The sequence below is a fragment of the Homo sapiens genome, chromosome 1 (genome assembly GCF_000001405.40).
Source record: "Homo sapiens chromosome 1, GRCh38.p14 Primary Assembly".
Taxonomy (NCBI): domain Eukaryota; kingdom Metazoa; phylum Chordata; class Mammalia; order Primates; family Hominidae; genus Homo; species Homo sapiens.
Window position 1 is genome coordinate 244,568,651 of NC_000001.11, and position 23,823 is coordinate 244,592,473.

A 23,823-nucleotide genomic window follows, 5' to 3' on the forward strand; every position below is an offset into this window, starting at 1 on the left:
AACCGCCTACTCAAGCCTCAGTAATGGCAGACGCTCCTACCCCCACCAAGTTCGGGTGTCCCAGGTCACTTCAGACTGCTGTGCTGGCAGTGAGAATTTCAAGCCAGTGGATCTTAGCTTGCTGGACTCCATAGGGGTGGGATCCACTGAGCTAGACCACTTGGCTCCCTGGCTTCAGCCCCCTTTCCAGCGGAGTGAATCGTTCTCTCTCACTGGTGTTCCTGGCACCACTGGGGTATGAAAAAAAACAAAAACAAAAACAAAGACAAAAAACTCCTGCAGCTAGCCTGGTGTCTGCCCAAACGGCTGCCTAGTTTTGTGCTTGAAACCCAGCGCCCTGGTGGTGTAGTAACCTGAGGGAGTCTCCTGGTCTGTGGGTGGCAAAGACCGTGGGTTCCTCATGGAGGAACCAGACTGTTCCTCATGGCACAGTCCCTCATGGCTTCCCTTGGCTAGGGGAGGGATACCATGGGTTCCTTATGGAAGACCAGACTGTTCCTCATGGCACAGTCCCTCGTGGCTTCCCTTGGCTAGGGGAGGGAGTTCCCTGACCCCTTGCACTTCCCCAGTGAGACGACGCCCCACCCTGCTTCAGCTCGTCTTCCGTGGGCTGCACCCACTGTCTAACCAGTCCCAATGAGCTAAACCTCAGTTGGAAATGCAGAAATCACCCGCCTTCTGCGTTGATCTCGCTGGGAACTGCAGACTGGAGCTGTTCCTATTCTCCCATCTTGCCCACAACTCCCCCTTTTCTGTGAATTTTCTATTCATACTGTTTGGACATTTTTGCATTGGGTTTATCTATACTGATATGTTCTTTATCTCATGTATTGCAAATATTTTCTCTAGTGTGTAACTTCCTGTAACTTTTTGGAGGGAGTTTGGTATTTAGAATTTGTATTTTTAAATGGTCAAATTTATTAATATTTTTATTTGTAACTTCTGATATGCCATAATATGACAGGTCATTTCAATTATAAAGATATTATATATTTTCATTATTCTTATAATTCTGATTTTTATGTTTTGATATTTAGCAAGAGTTAGGAATCTAATGGTATTTTTCCCATTGAAAGCTGATGTTGCCTTAAACCATTCTTCTATTAAGCAAACCTCTCCCACTGATCTGAAATGCTACTTGTATTATGTATTCATTCCTCACATTAACCGGATTGTTTCTAGGCTATTCTGTTCCACTAATCTATTTGTCCTAGTGCTATACTTTTTTGATTACTATATCCTTAATCACCTAACACACTAAATAATTTATTTTCATGTTTATTGGCAGTCTTCTCTGCTGGAATGTAAGCTACACAAGAGAAGGACTTTTCTGTTTTTTCATGAATATTTTCCTCCTAAGTACCTAGAACAGTATAGCCCCATAGTAAGCATTCAATACATTTGTTGAATAGATGTTTGCAATATTTATCTTCCCAACCAGGAATGTTGTATCTTTTCATTATTTTTATTTTCTCTAATTGATCTATTCTAATATTTTATCCCTTCTTGAGTCAATTTCAGAAGTTCTTGTCTTTCTAGGAAATAATTCATTTTATGTAGATTTTCTAATTTATTGGCAAAAGTAGGCTATTTTAACTTTTAAATTTCTTATGTACCTATAATTATCTTCCTCATTTATAATATTGCTTGTGCCTAACCCCCTTGTTAGTTTGGCTTGCAAGAGATTGTGTTTTTTTAGGTTTTGTTTTCTTTTCCTTTTAAAAAGAATTCTTAATTTTATCTACTTTCTTTTTAATTTAATTTCTGCTTTTGTCATTATTGATTCTTTACTTCTGCTTTCTTTTTGTAACTTTAGTCATCTCTTGCCTGCTTATTAAGTTAAATGGTTATTTCATTTATTTTTAGTCTTTCTTATTTTCTAAGCATTTAAAGCTACACACAAGCAAAAGGCTATGAATTTTTCTCTGTGTGGCTTTAGCCACATTATCTTTTAAATCATTCTTAATTCTCATTTTAACTTCATATTTAAAGCAAGGATGATTTATAAGGTTTGTAGTCAGCAGTGTGATCAGCAAAAGAGAAGGTGCTATGAAAGCAAATATTGGGAACATCAATCCAGATGTATGGGATCAGAAAACTAGGTGTGGAGGAAATGACTTCTAAACTGAAAACTAGGGAGAGAGTATATATATTAGAAAATGATTTCACTGGTTAGGCTGGGGGATTGAGGTAGCATTCCAAGCTGAGAATACAGCATGTGCAAAGATGTGGAGGTAGGAAAGAACATGGCAAGTTTGGGGAACTGAAATTAGGTCAGTCTGACTAGATAACACAGTGTAAGGCAAAAAATGGCAAGAGACAAACCTGGCTAAAGAACAGACAGGCCATATCATGAAGCAACTTGGACATTATATATAATCCAAAAACAATGTATTGTTTTGTTTCCTGAAGTTTTAAATTTTATATATCATTATACTGCATGCATCCTGCAATTACTTTTTTATTCAGCATGGAATTATATGTTATTATGTCATCCATTCACATTTCTCCCCTTCCACCTTGTGATCTACTGCATATATTTCTGATTAGATAAGTTTAAGTAGAATACAATTTATAGTAATTTGTAAAAATGTTACTGACTTATTCTGATTTCAAATGTAAGATGCATAAACACAACACAGCCTGAACCTCCCTGACTTGATGAATTCCCCTCTTCCTTCCAGCCAGTCCTCTCCAAGTGTTGTCTTTTGACAAAGTATATTCCTAGAGGCTGTACACAGAGAATGTCATATCTTGAAAGAAAACTATGAAATCATCTAGCCCAACTGTTCATTTTACAGACATAGCAACAGAACTAAAGAGGTTAAGATAGTTACCCACTATGACCCACTGTGACTTAGGCAGAATATTAAGTGGAGAAAGCTGATTATCTGCTATGAGTGAACCTGCAGAGGTAGGCTATGCTTTATACCACTCTCACCCCCACTCACCTCCATGTCTTCATTCCAGCTATATTAGCCTGCTAGGGTTGCCATAACAAAATCCCACAGACTGGGCAGCTTAAACAACAGAAATTTAGATTTTCTCATATTTCTAGAGGCTAGAAGTCCAAGATCAAGGTACTGTCAGGATTAGTTTCTATGAGGCCTCAGTTCCTGGCTTGTAGACAGTCGCCGTCTTGCTGTGTCCTCATGTGGCCTTTCTTCTCTGTGTGTCCGGAGAGATCCCTGGTGTCTCTTCCTTTTCTTATAAGGGCGCCAGTTCTGTTGGACTAGGACCCCCTGCTTCTTAGCCCATTTTACCTTAATTACCTCCTAAAGGCCCTGTCTCCAAATACAGTCTCATTGGACGTTAGGGCTTCAACACAAGAATTTGGGGGGACACAATTCAATCCACAACACAATGCAGAATTCCTAATAGCTCTATTCCTGCCATGCTCATCCTTGTTATTACTGAATACATGAATTCCAGCTTTTTATGTTAAATGATGTTATATAAGTGATATAGTATTCAAGAAGAAAACTAATACAATGAAGTGGCAGAGAAGTTCCCCAATATAGTGTAAAGTTATGGGTTCATATCTGCACATTCTAACTTTCTCAAAGTATGAAAATACTCGGTCATTATCAAAGAAATTATTTTGGTTAAAAGTACACTTAACTAAAACAGCACGATTTATGGTTACTTAGACTAACACAAACTTTTCTCTTTTTTCCAGATTATTATGGAGATATTTTGGTAAAAATGGAAAATAATGTAATATTTTATTCCAAGATTAATACTAGAGATGCAGTAAAGCTGCATTTATGGACAAATTACACAACAAGAGCATTCATTTTCTTAAGTACATCTGGTCAAACATATTTCCTGTATGCTTTGGATGATGGCACAATACAAATACAGGACTATCCCTTACATCTGGAAGCACAAAGTATAGCTTTCACAACAAAAGACAAATGCCCATACATGGCATTTCATAACAATGTTGCTCATGTTTTTTACTTTTTGGACAAGGGAGAGGCTCTGACAGTTTGGACTCAGATCGTCTATCCAGAAAACACTGGTCTGTATGTTATTGTGGAATCTTATGGCCCAAAAATATTACAAGAGAGTCATGAGATTTCCTTTGAAGCTGCCTTTGGATACTGCACCAAAACTCTGGTAAGCTAATATTTTAAATTTCTTCATTTGATTTTAATAAGTATAAAAGTATAATATTAACATTTTTGTAAATGGATTTCCCTTCTAGGCTCAGCTGGGAAAATGTTGAGGAATGTCTGAGTTTTTAATAAATAAAAACACAATAAGCCATTCATTCCCAAGCCATTATTTTTGCTTTCCATATCCAAGCCCTCTTTGCCACCTAATAACACATTCCTTCAAAACTCATTGTCAATTGTATTGTTCACTTCTTCTTCTTTTTTTTTTTAATGCATGGCTTTCCTGTAGACTCCTGTTGTCTATTGTAGTATAACAAACCACTCAAAACCTAATTGCTTAGAACAACAACCAATTCTGGGCCGGGCATGGTGGCTCACACCTGTAATCCCAGCACTTTGGGAGGCCAAGGCAGGCAGATCACGAGGTCAGGAGATCGAGACCATCCTGGCTAACACAGTGAAACCCCGTCTCTACTAAAAATACAAAAAATTAGCCAGGCGTCATGGCGGGTGCCTGTAGTCCCAGCTACTCGGGAGGCTGAGGCAGGAGAATGGTGTGAACCCAGGAGGTGGAGGTTGCAGTGAGCCGAGATCACACCACTGCACTCCAGCCTGGGTGACAGAGTGAGACTCCCTCTCAAAAAACAAAACAAAACAAAACAAAACAAAACAAAAAAACCAATTCTATCCGTCAATAGTTTGGGCTGTGAGTAGCCATGCAGTTCTGCTGGTTTCATCTGGGTTCGTGGATGTGATGTGGGCATCTGCTAATTCGTCTGCAACTACATGACCTAAGATGGCCTCATTAATCTAAGGGGCCTCAGCTGGAACACTTGCCTCTGCTGGATAACCCAGGTCTAGTGTTATCCTCCAGACTAGACCTGGCTTCTTCTGTGGCAGTCTCAGGGCAGTGTTCCAAGACGGTGAGAGCAGAAGCCTAGGTTTGGCCACATATCCCTAACTCATAGGATGGTGACATAAACTCTACCTCTTATGGAGAAATAGCAAGTTACACTGCATACGGGACATGCATATGGGAATGGGAAAAATTCTTGCAGCCATCTTTGCAAACAATGTCATAATAGGTGTTATAAGTAAAATGTTTACTTAGAAACAGAATGCTTGTTCTTTGGTACTACAAGAAAAAAACAGCATTTAGACAAAAAATTTTCTTAGCAAGGCAGTTTTAGTTTCTGCAGAAAGGGTGCTCCTCACAGATGGAACAATGGCAAGAGTGCACCTGAATAAAGGAGGGAAGCAATTTTTATCCTTTACAGGGCTTGTCCTTGCTACTGTGTCTTGTCTCCATTGACTGAAGCTAGACCTCACAATCTAAGCTGAACCTGACGGGCTAATAATTTAAAACTTTCCTAAATAGGTAAAGGCAATAGGGAACAAAGGAAAAAAGGAGGTTGCTTACGAAAAGACTTAGAAAAATAATAACATTCCTAAATAATAAAGGGGCATAGACTGCGAACTGGAACATGCCTGTGAGCACGTCCAGCACAGATATCTCGGTTAAAGTACAAGGACACAGGATGTACTACATGCCTGTGAGCATGTCTAACAGCTACATAGGATAGGGCTTAGCAAAGAGTTATTAGCACAAAGTAAGGAGGCTTGAAGGCTTGAAGGAAGTTAGTCTTTAAAAGAAACTATTATTTCTAACACTTATGATTTATTCTTTAACAAGAAGGGAAACTTTGAAGAGGAAACTTTTTATTTTTACAATTCCTTCCTCTTGATTTTATAGTTTTTTTCTCTTCAAACTTTTTTTAACATGTTTGGCTTAGCTGTTTTGCTTGAGTTTTTAAAAGAAAAAGTTTTTCTGGTTGATGAAATGCTAGAGTAAAATGGATAGCCAGTTGAACTAGAGCACAAATACTGCTCTAATTATTTGGCAGAGTGTTCAGTAAATGTCCTCTATAATACTATTATACATTTGCTTAGGGATGAATAAGGGCGGACTGATGGGTCAGCTCTTGGAAGTGTCTGACTTCACTGCATCCTGTTAAGTTTCTAAGAAACTTAACAAACTTTAATAGTTTTATATTCAGGAGGCCTAATTACTTTTAAATTATACAATATTTCTTGCATAAATTCCCTTTTATAACTTTTTTTATGACTTTCACAGACAATCTTTGACATGCCTTAACTTTCTGACTTCTTTTTACACTTTTTCTTCCTAGTCTTACCTTCTGTGTCTTTCTCTGATCTCTGTCTCTTTCAGTCTCTCGCTCACTTATTCTCTCCCTCTATCTCTCTCTCTCATTTGCGCTGTCTCCCTCCTGAGTTCTCCCACTCTTGCAGCTGGCAGGGCCAGGCAATGGCATGGGCCCTGCCCCAGAGCATGTGCCGCCATCTGTCTCTCCTGTTTCTTTCTGATTTTCCTTTTTACTTTCTCCCTTCCTCTCTTACACTTAGTTTCTTGGGCTGGGTGGGATCCTTGTGGCCACAGCCCAGGCCCCGGGCTGTTGCTGGCCCAGAGGCTTGGCAGGTGCCTGCCGTAAGTTGTACGATCATGCTCTTTCACCTCCTCTGCTCTCCTCCTGGCACCAGTCCTTGACCTCTTCTTCCACGCAGAGCCAGGCTAGGGAGAGGGACCTACCTCTTGGCTGCCGGGCTGCGCGGCATGGTATCCTGGCCCCGGCACACTCACACTTTCCTGCTCAGCTCTAACTTGCAGGCGTCCATGGCCAGCTGTCCTCCGAGGGTGGCAGGACGTACCTGAGCAGCACAGAAGGCTTGGGGCTCGACAGCTGGTGGCCTGGATGGCTCTAGCTGCATGGCTGGGTGCGAGGAGAGCATCCTAGCCACTGCCACTCTTCCAGGTGCTAGTAATCTACAACAATGTGGAGCTGCGCTTGCTGCTGTTGCTCTCTTTCTCTCTAACTTCCTCTCCTAGTTTCTCTTTCCTCTCTGCTGGTCTTTCCCTTGCCTCTGCCAGCCGCCTACGCTGCTGTTCTCCCCTCTCCTTCCCTTTCCCCTAGGGAGCAGCTGGTGGGAGTGGAGCTTAGCCTCTTTCTTCCACCGAGAAGAGAGGAAAGGGAAGTTTTGAATATTTTTCCTATTGCTGGAGGATTGTGTGAGGTTCAGTCTCTCCCTAATGGGGATTTTTCACCTCTTTTTAACCTCTAAGACACCCTAAGAAATACTTCACCGCCTCCCATGGCTTTTCTTTCCTTAGTCCTGACTAAGGAATGCTCTACTGCCTCTGCGGTGTCTGTTTCCTTGGTATATCCTGTCCAAGGAATGTTTTACCACCCTGCGGCTTTCTTTCCTTAGTCCTGACCACCAAGGAAATACTTTACCGGCTCCTCCAGTGTTTCCTTCCTTGGCTCGTGCACAAGGTTACCTGGTCCACGTGGTATGTGAGGATCCTTTACTCCAGGTTGCCAGCCAGTTTCTTTCCATATTGCTGAGAGTCCAGATTTATTCATCATACTGAGTGGGTCTCAATTCCTTACCCCTGAGGCCACTGCAGTGAGGCAGTGGGGCACCTCCTCATTAGAGAGGACTAGAGACTGCCCCCAGAGGAAAGTGTATCCCTGTATGGGTCACCATTTTGTTGTAAGTAAAATGTTTATCCAGAAACAGAATGCTTGTTTCTCGGTACTGCAAGGAAAAATTAGCATTCAGATAAAAAGTTTTCTCAGCAAGGCAATTTTACTTTCTGCAGAAAGGGTGCTCTCGCCATTGCTCCATCTGCGAGGAGCATCCTTTCTGCAGAAAGTACAATTGCCTTGCTGAGAAAACTTTTTATCTGAATGCTAATTTTTCCTTGCAGTACTGAGAAATAAGCATTCTGTTTCTGAATAAACATTTTACTTATAACAATAGGTATAAATATACTGTGTATATTATTTTGTATAGTGCATTTCAAATTAATATCATAATGTGAGCATTTTACATGTTACTTCAATTTCTTCTTAAAAACTGTGTAACTCAAATGGCAGTTTCTGTTCCCCACCTTCCATTTCTAGGCTCAGCTTCCTTAAGCACATAGAATAGTGAGCCTGCTATCTGATACAATGGAATGGAAGTGGTCAGTTAATTCCAAAGTCAGTGAAAGCAGAGAATAATAAAAAGTGAAACCAATATATGTGAAACATTTTACTTTAACTTAAATATATATGAAACATTTTACTTTAACTTAAATAAATGAACATACTTTTCATATAGGACCAAAGCCTTTTCTTTAAAATAGGTCCATTTATTATAGTTCTTCATCTCCTTTCTTATGTAACCTTGCTCATAATGCATCATTTCTGAGTTCCTATTTCAGTTTCTTTAAGATAAAGAAAAAAAATACTTGAAGGCACTGGAAAAGCAACTGAAACTCTAGAATTTTATAATTTTTTTCAGTTTTTTAGTATTACCTTGTTCATACCTACTAATTCAGCAATTTCTTCAGTGACTTGCTTTATCAAAATTTTCCAAAAAAGTCAACTTAGTTCTCAGGGAAACAGTAACTCTACTTTCATTTGATACTTATTTTATCAATCTATAATATTATATATAATTACTTATTTTAAATAATCATATAATCTGGCATCAACAGATTTGGAAACAACATGGATTTAGATTTACATGCAGTCTCATGGATAGATCTTCAAACACAGAGTTGAATGAAAATTATAAGAAACTGTTTGAAATCTATCTTAGTCCATTTGGGCTACATAACAAAAATAACTCAAACCAGGTGGCTTATAACAACAGAAATTTACTTTCTCATAGTTCTGGAGGCTGGGAAGCCCAAGATCAAGATGCCAGCAGACTTGGTCTCTGGTGAGGGACCGTTCCTCACAGACAGCGTCTTTTCACTGTGTCCTCACATGGCAGAAGGGGCAAGGCCACTCTCAGAGGCCTCTTTTATAAGAGCACTAATCCCATTCAGGAGGCTGTGCCCTCATGACCTAATCACCTCCCAAAGGGCTCCACCTCCAATACTATCATGTTGGTGATCAGGTTTTAACACATAAGTTTTAGAGGAACACATTCAGACCATAGCACTATCAGTGTAATAACATTTATGAATATTACAAATACATACACATAAATAACAAACAAAAAGGCATTATACGTATTTCAAGGATACAAAGATACCAAAGGCATATTTTCAAGGATACAAACATAGTTGTTTGATATATGATCTATTGCTACCTACTATGGGGGAAGATGATACAGGGAAAAAATAAAGTATGATAAATAAAATAGGACTGGATTGATAATGTACCAAAATAAAAGGATATATTTAACTCTTGGTTTTCTTTCCAAGAATTTGATTATAGTATACAGTTGATTCTTGAACAATGTGGGGATTGGGGCACCAACCCCTGCCCAGTTGAAAATCTGGTATAACTTTTACTGGTTTATTTGTTGGTTTGTTGGTTTGTTTTGAGATGGAGTTTCACTCTTGTTGCCCAGGCTGGAGTGCAGCGGTGTGATCTTGGCTCACCACAACCTCCACCTCCTGGTTCAATTGATCTTCCTGCTTCAGCCTCCCTAGTAGCTGAGACTATGGGTGTGCACCACCACGCCCAGCTAATTTTTGTATTTTCAGTAGAGACAGGGTTTCACGCTGTTGGCCAGGCTGGTCTCAAATTCCTGACCTCGTGATTCACCTGCCTCGGCCTGCCAAAGTGCTGGGATTACAGGTGTGAGTCACCACACCCGGCCGTGGTATAACTTTTGACTCCCCAAAAGCTTAACTACTAACAGCCTACTGTTGACTGGAAGCCTAACCTAAACAGCCTATTAACACATATTTTATATGTATTATATGCTGTATTCTTACAATAAAGTAAGCTAGAGAAAAGAAATGCAATTAAGAAAATCATAAGGAAGAGAAAACACATTTACTGTAGACCTCAGTCTACAGCTATATATATATAGCTCTCTCTCTCTGTCTCTCTCTCTCTCTCCCTCTCTCTCTATATATACAGGTATATATATATACACACACATATATATATATACAGGCATATATATGGGTACATATCTATACAGGTACATATATATGTATACAGGTTATATATATAGGTGCATATACATATATATATATATATATATACACACACACACAGGTACATATCAATCATTTCAACATTTTTTTTCATTTCTCTTTTTTTGTTTTGTTCTGTTTTTCAATTTTCCCTCTCGTTCAACATTTTCTTGTGATGTCATGACTTTTCTTTGCTTGGGAGCACCTTCCACAGCATCACTAGTGGCACCCTCTATGGGCCCATGGTGTTATTCAAGGTTTACAGTATTGCACTAAACATGATAAAAAAAATATGCAAGAACCACAAGAGATCAGTTTTTGCTGTGATATGCAATTTACTGGAAGGACGAACTGCCCACAGGATGACTAGTGTCACACAGCATTTTAAGCAGATACTCACAACACTTGAGCTCACAGCAATAGCAATCGGAGGTGGCTGTGAAATGATCACATAGTACAGTGTGTACTGTAGTTAATTTCATGCAGTTATGGTTTATTACTGCACCTTTACATTTGTTTATATTTCTCTCAACTGCAAATGGCGCCATGTGTGGTCTGTAAATGTTTGTGTAAGTTTTGATAAATTTTAACTTTACAGTAGATCTGTATATATTTTATGGTAGCAAATGATAAAATAGACTAGTATCCACATATATTTTATGTACTCGTGAAACACCTTTTTCTTAATTTTTTCAGTATTCTAGGCTACATGGTTCAACTGTGAGTTTTTTCAAATTGCCACAAATCTCCAAAAAACTTTCCAGTATACTAATTGAAAAAAAATCCCATATATAAGTGTACTTGCATAGTTCAAACATGTGTTGTTCAAGGGTCTACTGTATATTTGTGTATTTGCAACTCAGACCTTCAAACTACTAGTTATTCATAAAAAATATACAAATGACCAATGGCAATGAAACATTGCATTTTGCAAAAATACAAAATTTGCATTTCTAATTAAATACTGGCTCTATCATTTACTACCAAATGACACTGAACAAGTTTTTAAATCTGTAATTCTCTCATCAGTAAATTGGGAATAATAGTAATGAAAGTAACTACCTCATAAGGTTCTTTTATTCTAATTTTTTTTCTTCTTTCAACTTGACACATAAGGTTCTTATGAGGATTAAATGAGTTAGTATACATTAAGGGCTTAGAAAAGCACCTGGCGCATACTAAGTACTATATGTATGCATTACTACAAACACTACCACTACTCCTACTGCTACCATCACTACAACTACCATATTTTATCAATTCAAAGGCACATTTTTTTGAGACAGGGTCTCACTCTGTCATCCAGGCTGGAGTGCAGTGGCACAATGTTGGTTCACCGCAACCTCTGCTCCCTGGGTTCAAGCAATTCTTGTATCTCAGCCTCCCGAGTAATTGGGATTACAGGTGCATGCCACCATGCCTGGCTAATTTTTGTATTTTTTTTTTTTTTTTTTTTTAGTAGAGACAGGGTTTCACCATGTTGGCCAAGCTGGTCTTGAACTCCTAACCTCAAGTGATCTCTTCGATAGGGCACTTTTTTCTTAACATTTAACATCTCTGAAATCAGGATGAGTCTTACATCCTATAGGAATTGAGGCTCAATGAAGTACAATAGTATATTATGAAAGCACCTTGCTTATATAATGCAGGCTGGGTCACTGTAACTTCACGGACTAATTATTGGCTAGTATGATGCTAAGCATCATAGCTAATCATTTGTTTTTTAAAAATGAATATAACACCCACATAGAAAAGTAAATAAAACATTTATGCATAATTTAGCAAATTATTGTAAACCAAACACCCACGTAATCACCATTCACGTCAAAAAAATATAACATCAGAAGTACCCAAAGCCCTCCTGTGTTTTCCCTGATCAGAATTGTCTCCTTTTCCAGGTTAAACATTAGTCTGACTTTTGTGGTAATAATTTCCTTACTTTTCGGCCAGGCATAGTGGCTCACACCTGAATCCCAGCACTCTGGGAGGCCGAGGCAGGTGGATCGCCTGAGGTCGGGAGTTCAAGACCAGCCTGACCAACATGGTGAAACCCCGTCTCTACTAAAAATACAAAAATTGGCTGGATGTGGTGGCAGGTACCTGTAATCCCAGCTACTCGGGAGGCTGAGACAGGAGAATCGCTTGAACCTGGGAGGTGGAGGTTGTAGTGAGCCAAGATTGCGCCATTGCACTTCAGCCTGGGCGACAAGAGTGAAACTCCATCTCAAATAATAATAATAATAATAATAATAATTTCCTCACTTTTCTTAATAGTTTCACAACCTACATATGCATCACTAAGTAATATAGCTAAGCTTTGTCTATTTTTGAACTTCATATGAAGGGAATCATTGCATGTATATTATATACACACATCCATCCATAAACATCTACATATATTGTATTTTTGTCTTGCTTTTGTCTTTGAATATGACGCTTATGAAAGTCCATGTTGTTTTCTGTAGCTGTCATTCATTCATACTCACTGATATATTGTGTCACTCTGTATGAATGTACTACAAGATATCCTTAGGCATTTTACTGTTGATGAACATTGGTCTGTTTCTATTTGGAGGCTATTCTGAATAATGTTACAATGAATATTTTAGTATATACCTCCTGAAAAGCACATATAAACATTTCTGTCAGGTAGAATTACTTTTATGTGAGATTCTTGGTGAGGCTATGAATTCAATTTATATTATAATTTTGCAACATTTTATTATGGAAAATGTCAAACATACAGAAAAGTTGAAAGAATTTTACATTTAACAGCTCTATATCTATACCCACTATGTACATTAATATTTTATTATATTTGCGTACTTGCTTTATTACGTATCTATGCACCTGTCTATCCACCAGTCAATCTTGTTGATTACTTACACGTGATGAACATCATTACATACCCTAATGAAGGCATTTTACATGCCTAGATGTAGAAAGCCATATGCTACTAAAGTGGGATCACCACCCCCAATTTCCCTGCTTTACATAAATTTTAAATTTTCTTTTTTCAGACACTAACATTTTATCAGAATGTAGATTATGAGAGAATATCTGATTACTTTGAGACACAGTAAGTATAACTTTTAAAAGAACTTTCTCAGTATCAAATATGCTACTCAGGTTATTGATTTGTGGGTGTTCTTTTATTTAAATGGCCTCATATTCTTTTAAATATTCAAATTTCAGATTCCTTTCAATGTCTGGATAGATGTAAAATTAATATTTAGCTGTATAAAATGTAAAATACTCCTTGTAGTTGAATAAGAAACATGACCTATCTGAATTTCTCATTCATCCAAATGAAGATGCAAAAAAAGGGCTGTTTCTTAGTTGAATAATTTTCAAGCACATTTTATCACTAGTTCCCATCTCAAAGTTTCTACATACCATCACTAGCATAAATAAGAACTCTGATATCACAGAAACTCTTTATGCATAGAGCCAGATAAAATGCTGTCTTTGACTACTGCAGTAAGGTAGCAGCTAGGCTACCTGGAGGAAGACAACCAACATGGAATTCTGTGTGAAGGCATTCCTATGGCTATCATTACAGCCTGGAAGTATTTTCTTGGAAAAATAGCATATTTTCCCTAGGAAAAATCAATTTTTCTTTTTTCTTTTTCTTTTTTTTTTTTTAAGATGGAGTCTCACTCTGTCACCCAGGCTAGAGTGTAATGGCATGATCTCGGCTCACTGCAACCTCCACCTCGCAGGTTCAAGTGATTCTCCTGCCTCAGCCTCCCGAGTAGCTGGGATTACAGGCATGCGCCACCACGGCCGGCTAATTTTGTATTTTTAGTAGAGACATAGTTTCTCCATGTTGGTCAGGCTGGTCTCGAACTCCCAACCTCAGGTGATCCGCCCACCTTGGCTCCCCAGAGTGCTGGGATTACAGGCATGAGCCACTGCACCCGCAGGAAGAATCCATTTTTCTTTAGTCTGGTGCTACTCCAAGTGAGTTTGACTACCTGCTCTATGCCAAGCACTTTCTAGGTATTTAAAATACAGGGTAAATGAGAAAGATGAAGTTCTAGTGTCATGGAACCCATTCTCCAGTGAGAAAACAGCCAATCATCAAATAAGTAATTTCAAATACTGGTAAGTGCTATGAAGAAAACAGAATTTGATATATATATATATATATATATATATATATATATATATATATATATATATATATATATATATATATAAATCAGTGACAGAGACTGATCAGGAAGAGTAGGGAGAAATGCTGCTTTCGACTCCATACCCAGGAGAGGCTGAATTCCTTTCTTTCCCTTTCACCCACCAACTTATCTCTTTATGCTCCTAATGGTCTAGGTTCCTTTGGATATTTATGGTTTTGTGGATATTTACTAAGATTTACATTGCTATAGAATACACGTAAAATTGCCAAGGACACTTTTTATGTTTGTTTGTCCTCATTTTTTTTTGACAAAAAAAACCTTAGCAGGTGTAGGTATAAATCAAACTTTCACGTTTTCTTCTATTATTTTTTAGCCCTCACGTTTTGCCTGAACACAAAATGATTCTTGTGCACTTCATAGTGGAGAAAGGCATTCTATCTGACCTAGCTTTCAATCCCAGTCAGATCATATTAGACCATTTAATGTGGCTCAGAAAACTAATTTTACAACTCACTCTTTATTGTCCAAAGGTGCTATCAATACGAGGGGAAAACGGGTAGGAGCCAGAGGAGGAACCCACACAGTGGCTGCCACCTTCAGGTCGAGATGTCTGCAGCAGAGCCCCATTGCCCAGGGACTGTGTGAATGAAATAGGGTGGTTGAAATGCTGGTAGGATGCTCATTTCTGCTTCCCATCGCATTAACCCTATGGTGGCCAAAACATGGGATACGATGAGGTGGGAGCAACTTTACAATAGGACTAGCATGCAGAGCTGTCTTAGCAGAAGCAGAGAGCTGTTACCAGCAGCACCATCCTCCAGGCCTCTAGAAATTGGCGTGGGAGGTCAATCACACCGTGCACATGGGACTTTGCACTTGCTCTACAGAAAGACAGTGTCATGCCTGTCTCTCACATGATACAATAACCTGTACGAATTGTTTCTCCTAGAGACAAGCACACGGGTCTTGTGCTGGTTCAGTTTCGACCTAGTGAATATTCAAAAGCATGTCCAATAGCCCAAAAGGTAAGCGACATGGGCTGAAGACCCAAATATTTCACTTCAAGAATGTATAGGCGGTCAACCAAATAATGCATACAATACCTCCGTACAATACCTCCATGCAATACCTCCATACAATACCTCCATAGAGTACCATCCTCCTATTACTTAGCAAGTTCCATATTTATTCTGCACTTATTTCTTCAAAACAATCGTTTATTCATAATTTAATAAAAAAACAAAGAAAAAATCATTTATTCATTTAAAAAAGTTTATTGTATGCCTACTCTGTTTCTGTGTGTCAGTCTGTGTGCTCGGTAATGGGAGTTGCAAAAATAAAAAGACAGGGTACCTTCCCTAGAGGTAAACGTAAACTAGCTTAATTTTGCAACATTTTATTATGGAAAATGGTATACACAGTTCTCAAACAGCCCAGAGGAAAGTAAACTAAGGAAGTTTACTGAGACTGGGAGGGGAAAGGTGAAAAGAAAGGGATACACAAAACGACCAGTGATGAATAGGTAGAAGTTCAGCAGGCAGGTGCAAAAACATTCCAGGAAAAGGCATGGAGGGATGAAATAGTATCAGGGTGTTCAGGTAACTGAACAGTATTATTACTATATTATATATTATATTATAGTATTGTGAAATTCAACATAAATTCTTAACCCCGCCTCCTTTGAGTCTATATTTCACACGTCTCCTCTCTCTATTACTTCTCAGCCTAACATTCAGTAAACATATATGGAGCACCTACTATATACCAGGCATTGTGTTATATATGGGGAATACAAAGCGAAATAGGACCTGGCCCCTCCCATTCAGAACCCAAGCATGAGGAACCTGCGTTCCTACCAGGGCAAGGTTCCATACATTTAGAGGGAGCCTTGAACTGAGGCAGACGTGATCCATCCTTGAGCACTGCAGACACACGCTGCTTCCCCAGGAAATCGCCTGCAGGTGCACACCAACAACTCCCCTGTCTGCCTACCACATGCCAGCTTAATCCACGTAGGAAATAAGAAACCACAACCTAGGAAGGTCCTGGCCTAGCCTAGGTCTGCAGTTTCTGTCTTTAACTGCTTTTACCCTCTTCCTTTATGGATGCCTTCCCGAAGCACCGTGGTTTCCTCCAGCCCTCTCTAATCTATAGAATTTTTTAGGGATCCCTATTCATTCTATCCTGCCCAGCCAAGGCATTACAAAATCAGGTTCATCTAACCTGAGTTCAGATCCACATTCTACCATCCACTGGCTTGGGTAGGCTACTTACTCTGAGCCTCAGCTGCCTCATTTGTAAAAGGGAAAATGTACCATCTATCTTATGGGGTTGTTGAGAGTATTAAATGAGATTATTCATGTAAAGTACCCAAAGCAATGCCTATTACATAGTAATTATCTAATATACTGGTTTCTTCCTTCTGTTTCCTCTTTGGTACCCTGCAGACAAGGACAGGACAAATCTAGCCATCCTCTGTGCCCACTGCAGGTAGTTTGTCCTGACCTACCCACTGAAATAGAATGAGGAAAGATGCGGTAGCCCTTTCAGGCAACAGGAAATGTGGCCGTGTAGAGGCAGGTCCTCTACTCAGCCAAGGAAATCAAAACATGCACACAACTGTGAAGTATGCCTTCAACCACAAGGTTCCTTCCTTGTGCTCCCACACTCATGGCTTAGCAAGCCATCAGCCTCCCAGATAAATATTGTAGAGACATAGGACCCAGCTCTGTGTAGACACAGAACCATGGCCTACAGACTGACCCACTGGGTGAAGTTAGGCCCTTGCTAAACCTGCTGGACCGAAGGGACATGGACTGCACTATTTGAATAGGAGCCTGTTGTCTTTATCTTTTAGTGTTCAGAGCCTGCAGCAGAGCAGCAAATAGAACTGGCAGCTCCAACAAGGCTGCATCTCACTTTTTAACCATGCACCAAGAACTGGAAATGCAGAAATGTAGGCCAGCCCCCAGAGGGCCTTAGTAAATCCTTCCGAGATGAACTTTCCCTGGGAGGGGTGACTACAGCTTTGTGCAGTGCATTATCTAACAGCATTTGTGTTGAGGGCCTTTAGAATCCCTGTCTCAGGTCAGTTAATCTGTCTGGTTAGAAGAAATACGCTGTGTCCAACTCTTGGTTAAGGCAGGAGCTGTCCGGCTCCGTCTCTGCACTAAGGAGAAGTGTTGTCATTTAGGCCATATGTCAGAATCTCTCTAATTAGGTGTCCAGTTCTGGGAATATGTGTCAGCCCTGCAGCAGTGGGTACTCTAGGAAACAGGATTATTTGTGCTCCCCACACTATACCTGCAACTCCTTTTCAATATCCACCTACAGGTTAACTCATATTTTTAATCCTAGCCATGGTGCTTGATCCTGAGGCTTGGGGTGATTTTTTTCAACTAGGACAAGGAAGAGAAGAAACATTGCAAATGAGATCATCAAGTGATGGTGGGTCCTGACTATGATAGATTTGAGAACCTTTGTCAACCCTTATATAGATAATTTAGTAAAGATAAAGGGCAGGCCAATGATTCTGATCAGGAAAGCAAAGATTTAATGATGGTGGCTGGTGAGGACTGTGGGTAGTGTGGTTGGGAGAACAAATCAGGCCCTGTGCTTGAAGTCAAGTGGTCCAGGAAATAAAATATGCACTCCCACTGTGAAGCATGCCTTTGAAATGAAGACCAAAAGGTCTTGGTTTAGCAGCATCAACTCTTTAAGGCCACCAAACTTGGCTGGACATCGTCCTATCCCCACCCTCCTGACCCCTAAGTCCTTCTTATACGGTAGGGAGTATTAGAGTTTTTCCAGATTTGCTTTGTGGAAATGTGCAACATCCAACAACATGCATAAGGCAGAACGCAAGTGTGTAGACCCTGTTGAGACAGCCTGCTGGAAGGTCAGGGGTCCTGGAGCCAGGTGGAAATGGAAGTAGGTATCCCAGCAGAGGGAGAACCAGGACCCTGGTTACAAGCAGCCATGACTCTCTGCCTGGAAAACTGACAGTTCTTATAGATAAAGCTAAAGCATTCATCCACTTTATTTTTAACTTTCACTATCTCTGTAAGCCTTCCTTTAATATCTGTATAGTAATTAATTGTATTTTAGTTCCATGGAACCTGTATATTATTTTTAAGCAACATGTATCTAAGCATTACAAGCAGGGTAAGATATTTTGCAACAGTTCGTTTTCCTAATAACTGAGATTTAATGAAGCTAATAGTCTCATCTTTAGATATAATGCATTCCAGCTACCAGATATAACCTATCTTCTTAGCAAAGTTCCATGAAATTCCATTTTAATTTTTGTGTGTAATATTCATTCTACCCTGTTCTTACTGCAAAAGTATTGAATCTGTTAAAAAGAGAAGGTAAAAATTGCTACTAACGGTAGAGGTACATTTGGGGATAGATGCAATATACTTATTGCATCAGATTCTAATGGGATTTTATTTGGTTGAGAGTTAGCCTTTTCCATATCAAATGCCCTTCTTGGGCATTTCCAGCCCATGAAACAAGGCATCATGGAACAGCCTGGCTATATGATGCCATTGTTTGATTTTACATTTGCCTTTCTCCCCTGTATCCCAAAGTTGACCTACAGAGAAGCGTGGGCTGTGTTAACAAAGCTATAGGATCCACAGGTCATTTGTTTTCAAACAAAGCACGTATGTGCATTTCTTTAAAAAAGCAATTATGAGTAATGTTTAGAATAAATATCCATAAAATGAGGACAGTGGTTTAATAGTTAATAATTAGCCTGTGACCAGTGCTCCTTTGAATAGAGTATTGCTGCTTAAAGGAGGAATAACAATAGTAAGATGCTATTTCACGTGATGCTCAGTACCCTGAGAAATTACTGGTCTACAAAAGTGAAAACAGCAAGTCAGATTAGTAGCTGGACAGATTATAGAAACCTGCCAGCTGAGTCAGAGGTGCAAACTGGAAGTAGAGATTTGATAGTCATGGTTGTAGAGAAACAGGTAAAAGATGAGTTTGAGCCAGGTGTGGTGGCTCCCACCTGTAATCCCAGCACTTTGGGAGGCAGAGGCAGGTGGATCACATGAGGTCAGGAATTTGAGACCAGCCTGACCAACATGGTGAAACCCTGTCTCTACTAAAAATACAAAATTAGCTGGGCGTGGTGGTGCATGCCTATAATCCCAGCTACTTGGGAGGCTGAGGCAGGAAAATCGCTTGAACTCGGGTGGCGTAGGTTGCAGTGAGCTGAGATCGCACCACTGCACTCCAGCCTGAGCGACAGAACAAGACTTCATCTCAAAAAAAAAAAAAAAAAAGATGAATTTGGATCAATTCCCTGAGACACAAATGTAAGAAAGGAGAGACCCAACTTTTGGGCCTCATGAGCAGTAAAGACAAAAGGAAGGAAAGAAAAAAAAAAGTGATCAAGGAAAGAGGAAGAAAACAGTGCAGAGCAGTGGTATAAGAGAACCCTACATTTTACAAGTTATTATTTTAAATCTAAAATGCAATTGGTTTTAGCTGTAATATTTTAGATCATATGAATCAGAACTGCTGAACTCACTACCTAAGTTACTTCATTTTAGGTGTTCCAAATAGCTGTTGGCTGTGATGATAAAAAATTCATTGCAATTAAAGGGTAAGTATATTTCCATTTGACCTGTGTTACTCTTTAAGTTTTAAAACAAATGGTAAACTAAGTGATAACTGCTAGTGATAATAGCCTAATGACTGACACATCCACAATGAAATCCAAAACTGAATTGACGTTCATGCCTAGATTCAATTGGTTTAAACTTTTGCCAAGTTAAATACTACATTTGAATCATACTAAAAATAAAAAGAATTAGCCTCTTTCTCTATTACTAGCATTTTTTCTCTACCTTCCCTTTTAATAAGCCAGTTTCTGTCCTTCACAGTTGCCTCTCTCAACTCTTCAGTCTACGGCTCATTCCCAGAAAAATAGGAGGGAGAAACACTTACCAGTTTTCCATCCTTCTCAAACCAGTTATAATTTCATTTCCATCAGAGAACTGCTTACACCCATATCAGAGAAGCCTCAGTTTTCTGCACCATTTTCTATGGGAAATTTCTTAGAACAAGCCTAGCAGAACCACAGTGATTGCCCTAGAGAATCCCAACGTGTGAATTTTGTCGGTTCTACTATGGTTCATGATGAAGCACGTTGGACTCTGTGTCTTCCATTCACCATACCTCTCTTTCTTCTACATGGGAGAAAATCAAAGGCAGCATACACAAATCTGTTTAGCTGAGGCTAAATGTATAACAGAGACAGAAATTTATTGTGATTCCTTTCCTTCAGTTAGGAGTGGGAGTGAGAGTCGGGGAACATTGACTCTTATCTGAGTATTTATGAAATTACTTGCTGACATCCAAAACAAATATCTACTCCTCTGTCATTCTAATAATCTTTTAATTATTACTGAGTTGTAATAATCAGTTGCTGGATTGATAATTAAGTATTTGCATCTCATTCAGCATTTCCTAAATTTGCATTTCCTAACATCTTTGCACCCGTAATTCCTTTCCCAGAAAATGCAAAAAGGCTAGTTGATTTATATAGCCGGTATCATCCTATTTCAGGGATGATTTACATCTTTGCTCCTTAGAGTATGGCCTATGGACCAACACTGGCATCACCTGAGAACTTGTTAGAAATGTAGATTCTCAGGCCTCATCCCACACCTGCTGAATCAAAATCTGCATTTTAACAAAATTTCCAGGAGATTACAAGGAGCACTAACATTTGAGAATAACTGGTGCAAACGTTACCAAAATCAGTTCCCAGTACCGCTGCATGCAGAATGCCTTCTCAGGCCCGATTTCCTTCTAAAGTGAGATGGAAAGCAGCTTGAAGCAGTCTGTTTCTAGAAGGGTCCGAATAATAACTATCAAGCTCAGTTACTCATCAGAATCACTTGGAGAACATGTTTTGAAAACATGGATTTTAGGACCTTACTCTGGGCCTCTTAGTCAATGACCCACTTCCCTGGAACCCTAAAAACTCTAATATCTTGGGCTCAAGTTACAGTGGGCCTATGGATTTTACAGTCACCAGGGGAGACCTGGAATAGCATGGGGTCCAAGTTACTTTTGGAGAGCCAGGGACTTGTCAATGAAGGAGAGTTGTCAACTCTTGGGGTCCAATTTGTGTTCAGGGTGAGGGATGGTCTAGACTTCCAATATCTATCTAAAAATGGTGGTGACAAGGGTTCTTTCTAAGTTCCACTGGAAGCAGCCAGCTAAAATGGTCAGATGAATAATTTACCTAACTAAAAACTCCTATAATTACAACGATCATTATAGCCTTCTGTCTTATGAACCCTAACTAGAAATTATGTTAATCCTTAAAATAACTCCTTACCTGCACAATAGTAGCAACTAGAAATCTTGCATTTAAAAGAAGTTTACATCTAATAAAACAGTCCAAAGAAATTTGTTTTCATTTTGATAGATTTTCTATGAGTTTTTTTGTGTGTGCATGTGTGTTTTACCATGGCAGCTTTTTAAAAAGTGTGATGAAATTCACATAATATAAATTTACCATTCTAAAGTATAGAATTCAATGGAATTAAGTACCTTCACGATGTTGTACAGCTAGCACCACTATCTAGTTCCACAATATTTTTGTCACCCCAAAAGGAAACTCTTTACCCAGTTAGCAGTCATTTCCCATTCTCCCTTTCCCCCAGCCCCTGGCAACCATAATCTGCTGTCTCAAAACCATAATCTCTATGGATTTGCCTGCTCTGAATATTTCACATAAATGGAATCCTACAACATATGACCTTTTGTGTCCAGCTGCATTCACCTAAGTCTGCTTTTGAGGTTCAACAGGCATGTATTAGTCCTTCCTTCCCTTTTACGGCTGAGTAATATTCCATTGAATGGATGTACCACATTTTGTTTATCCATCCAGCAGTTCATGGATATTTGGGATGTTTCTACCTTCTGGCTTTTGTGAATAGTGCAGCTATGAATATTTGTGTACAAGTGTTTGTTTGAACACCTGTTTTGAATTATTGTGGGTATCTACCTAGGAGTGGAATTGCTAGGTTGTATGGTAATCCTATGTTTAACTTGTTAAGGAACCTCCGAGCTGTTTTCCATAGCAGCTGCACTGTTTTACATTATCACCAGCAATATATATGGGTCCCAATTTCTCTGCTTCCTTGCCAACTCTTGTTTCTTTCTGTGTTGGGGAGTTTTTGGTTTTTGTTCTGATTTGACAGATAAAATTGTATGTATTTAGTGTGTACCACATGATGTTTTAAAATACATTGTGGACTGACTGAATCTAGCTAGTTAACATATGTCTTACCTCACATAGTTATCATTTTGGTGGTAAGAAAACACTTCACATCTACTCTCTTTGCGTTTTTCAAGAATACAATATATCATGAACTAAAGTCACCATGTTGTACAATAGACCTCTGGAACTTACTCCTCCTATCTAATTGAAATTGTCTATCTTTTGAGCAACCTCTCCCCAAGCCCTGCATCTGCTATAATTTTTAATAAGCATGTATCAAATATAAGAGATAAATCAGTAGATTTCAAATTCTGGTATCTCCTGAAACATTTATGAAACTGATGTTTTAAAAACAGAAATGCTAAGGCTACACACTAACCAGAGATTCTAATTCAGTAAATGATGATTCTCTGACACTCTCCTGTTTGAGAATCACTGAGTTAAATGATTAAATGTTTTTGCAAATATTTAAGAAATGATATTTCAACTTCATTATGTTTTGTCTTTTGTAGATTTAGTAAAAAAGGATGTCATCACCATGATTTTTCATACGTGATTGAAAAGTAAGAAATTTTTTAACATAAGCACTGAGTTTTATATTAACGTAGTACCAATACTTTACAATCAGTACTTATTCAGTGGATTATTATTAGCATCCATGTGTTCGGCTTGACACTGTGCAGTCAGTTTTAGCATTAAGCAAAATGTGTAGATGGTATAATTAACTTTCCTGAAACATACAAGAGTCAGTCTTCCCCCTTCAATTTAATTGGATAAGCAAAGCAAGCCTCATTTACATATATGTAGTCTCAAATCTCATATTGCTCCCTGTAATTTAAGGAAGACATACAAGAATTTTTTTTCCTTACATAATTTTTCTCAAATTCTACATGACTGAAGCCGGGTACAGTGGCTCATGCCTGTAATCTCAGCACTTTGGGAGGCCGAGGCAGGTGGATCACCTGAGGTCAAGAGTTCAAGACCAGCCTGGCCAACGTGGCGAAACCCCATTTCTACTAAAAATACAAAAAACTAGCCGGGCATGGTGGCTTAAATTCTACAAGACTGTAGTTCAGCTAGTTAGAAGTAATATATTTACCCGGAAAGTCCTGACATCAAATATTCTACTAACTGAATTTTTTCTAGATTTTATATTTAATTGTATGCATATTTATTTTTAATAATGTGATGTATTAAAGATATAACTAAATAAAATTTGACTTTTACCTTTGTAAGATAAAGATCTTCATTTTTAAATGTTAAATATTTGTTAGACTGTCAAAATATAGAAGTCCACAGCCTCTG

General features: G+C 38.9%; 1 protein-coding gene across 23 annotated transcripts in view; it reads left to right on the forward strand.

Moving 5' to 3' along the window:
• CATSPERE (catsper channel auxiliary subunit epsilon) overlaps window positions 1-23,823 on the forward strand; it is a 189,263-nt gene that overhangs the window by 117,409 nt on the left and 48,031 nt on the right. For 19 of the 23 annotated variants that reach the window (XR_001737095.2, XR_001737096.2, XR_001737099.2 and 16 more), the window contains 5 exons: window positions 3,680-4,122; window positions 13,146-13,204; window positions 15,214-15,289; window positions 19,832-19,884; window positions 23,031-23,081. Coding sequence is in view for 20 of the 23 variants with exons in the window: in XM_011544138.3 (XP_011542440.1) it covers window positions 3,680-4,122; window positions 13,146-13,204; window positions 15,214-15,289; window positions 19,832-19,884; window positions 23,031-23,081 (682 nt within the window). In the remaining 3 variants the exon portion in view is untranslated. The other 4 variants (XM_047417127.1, XM_047417129.1, XM_017000952.2 and 1 more) reach the window with 3 other exon arrangements.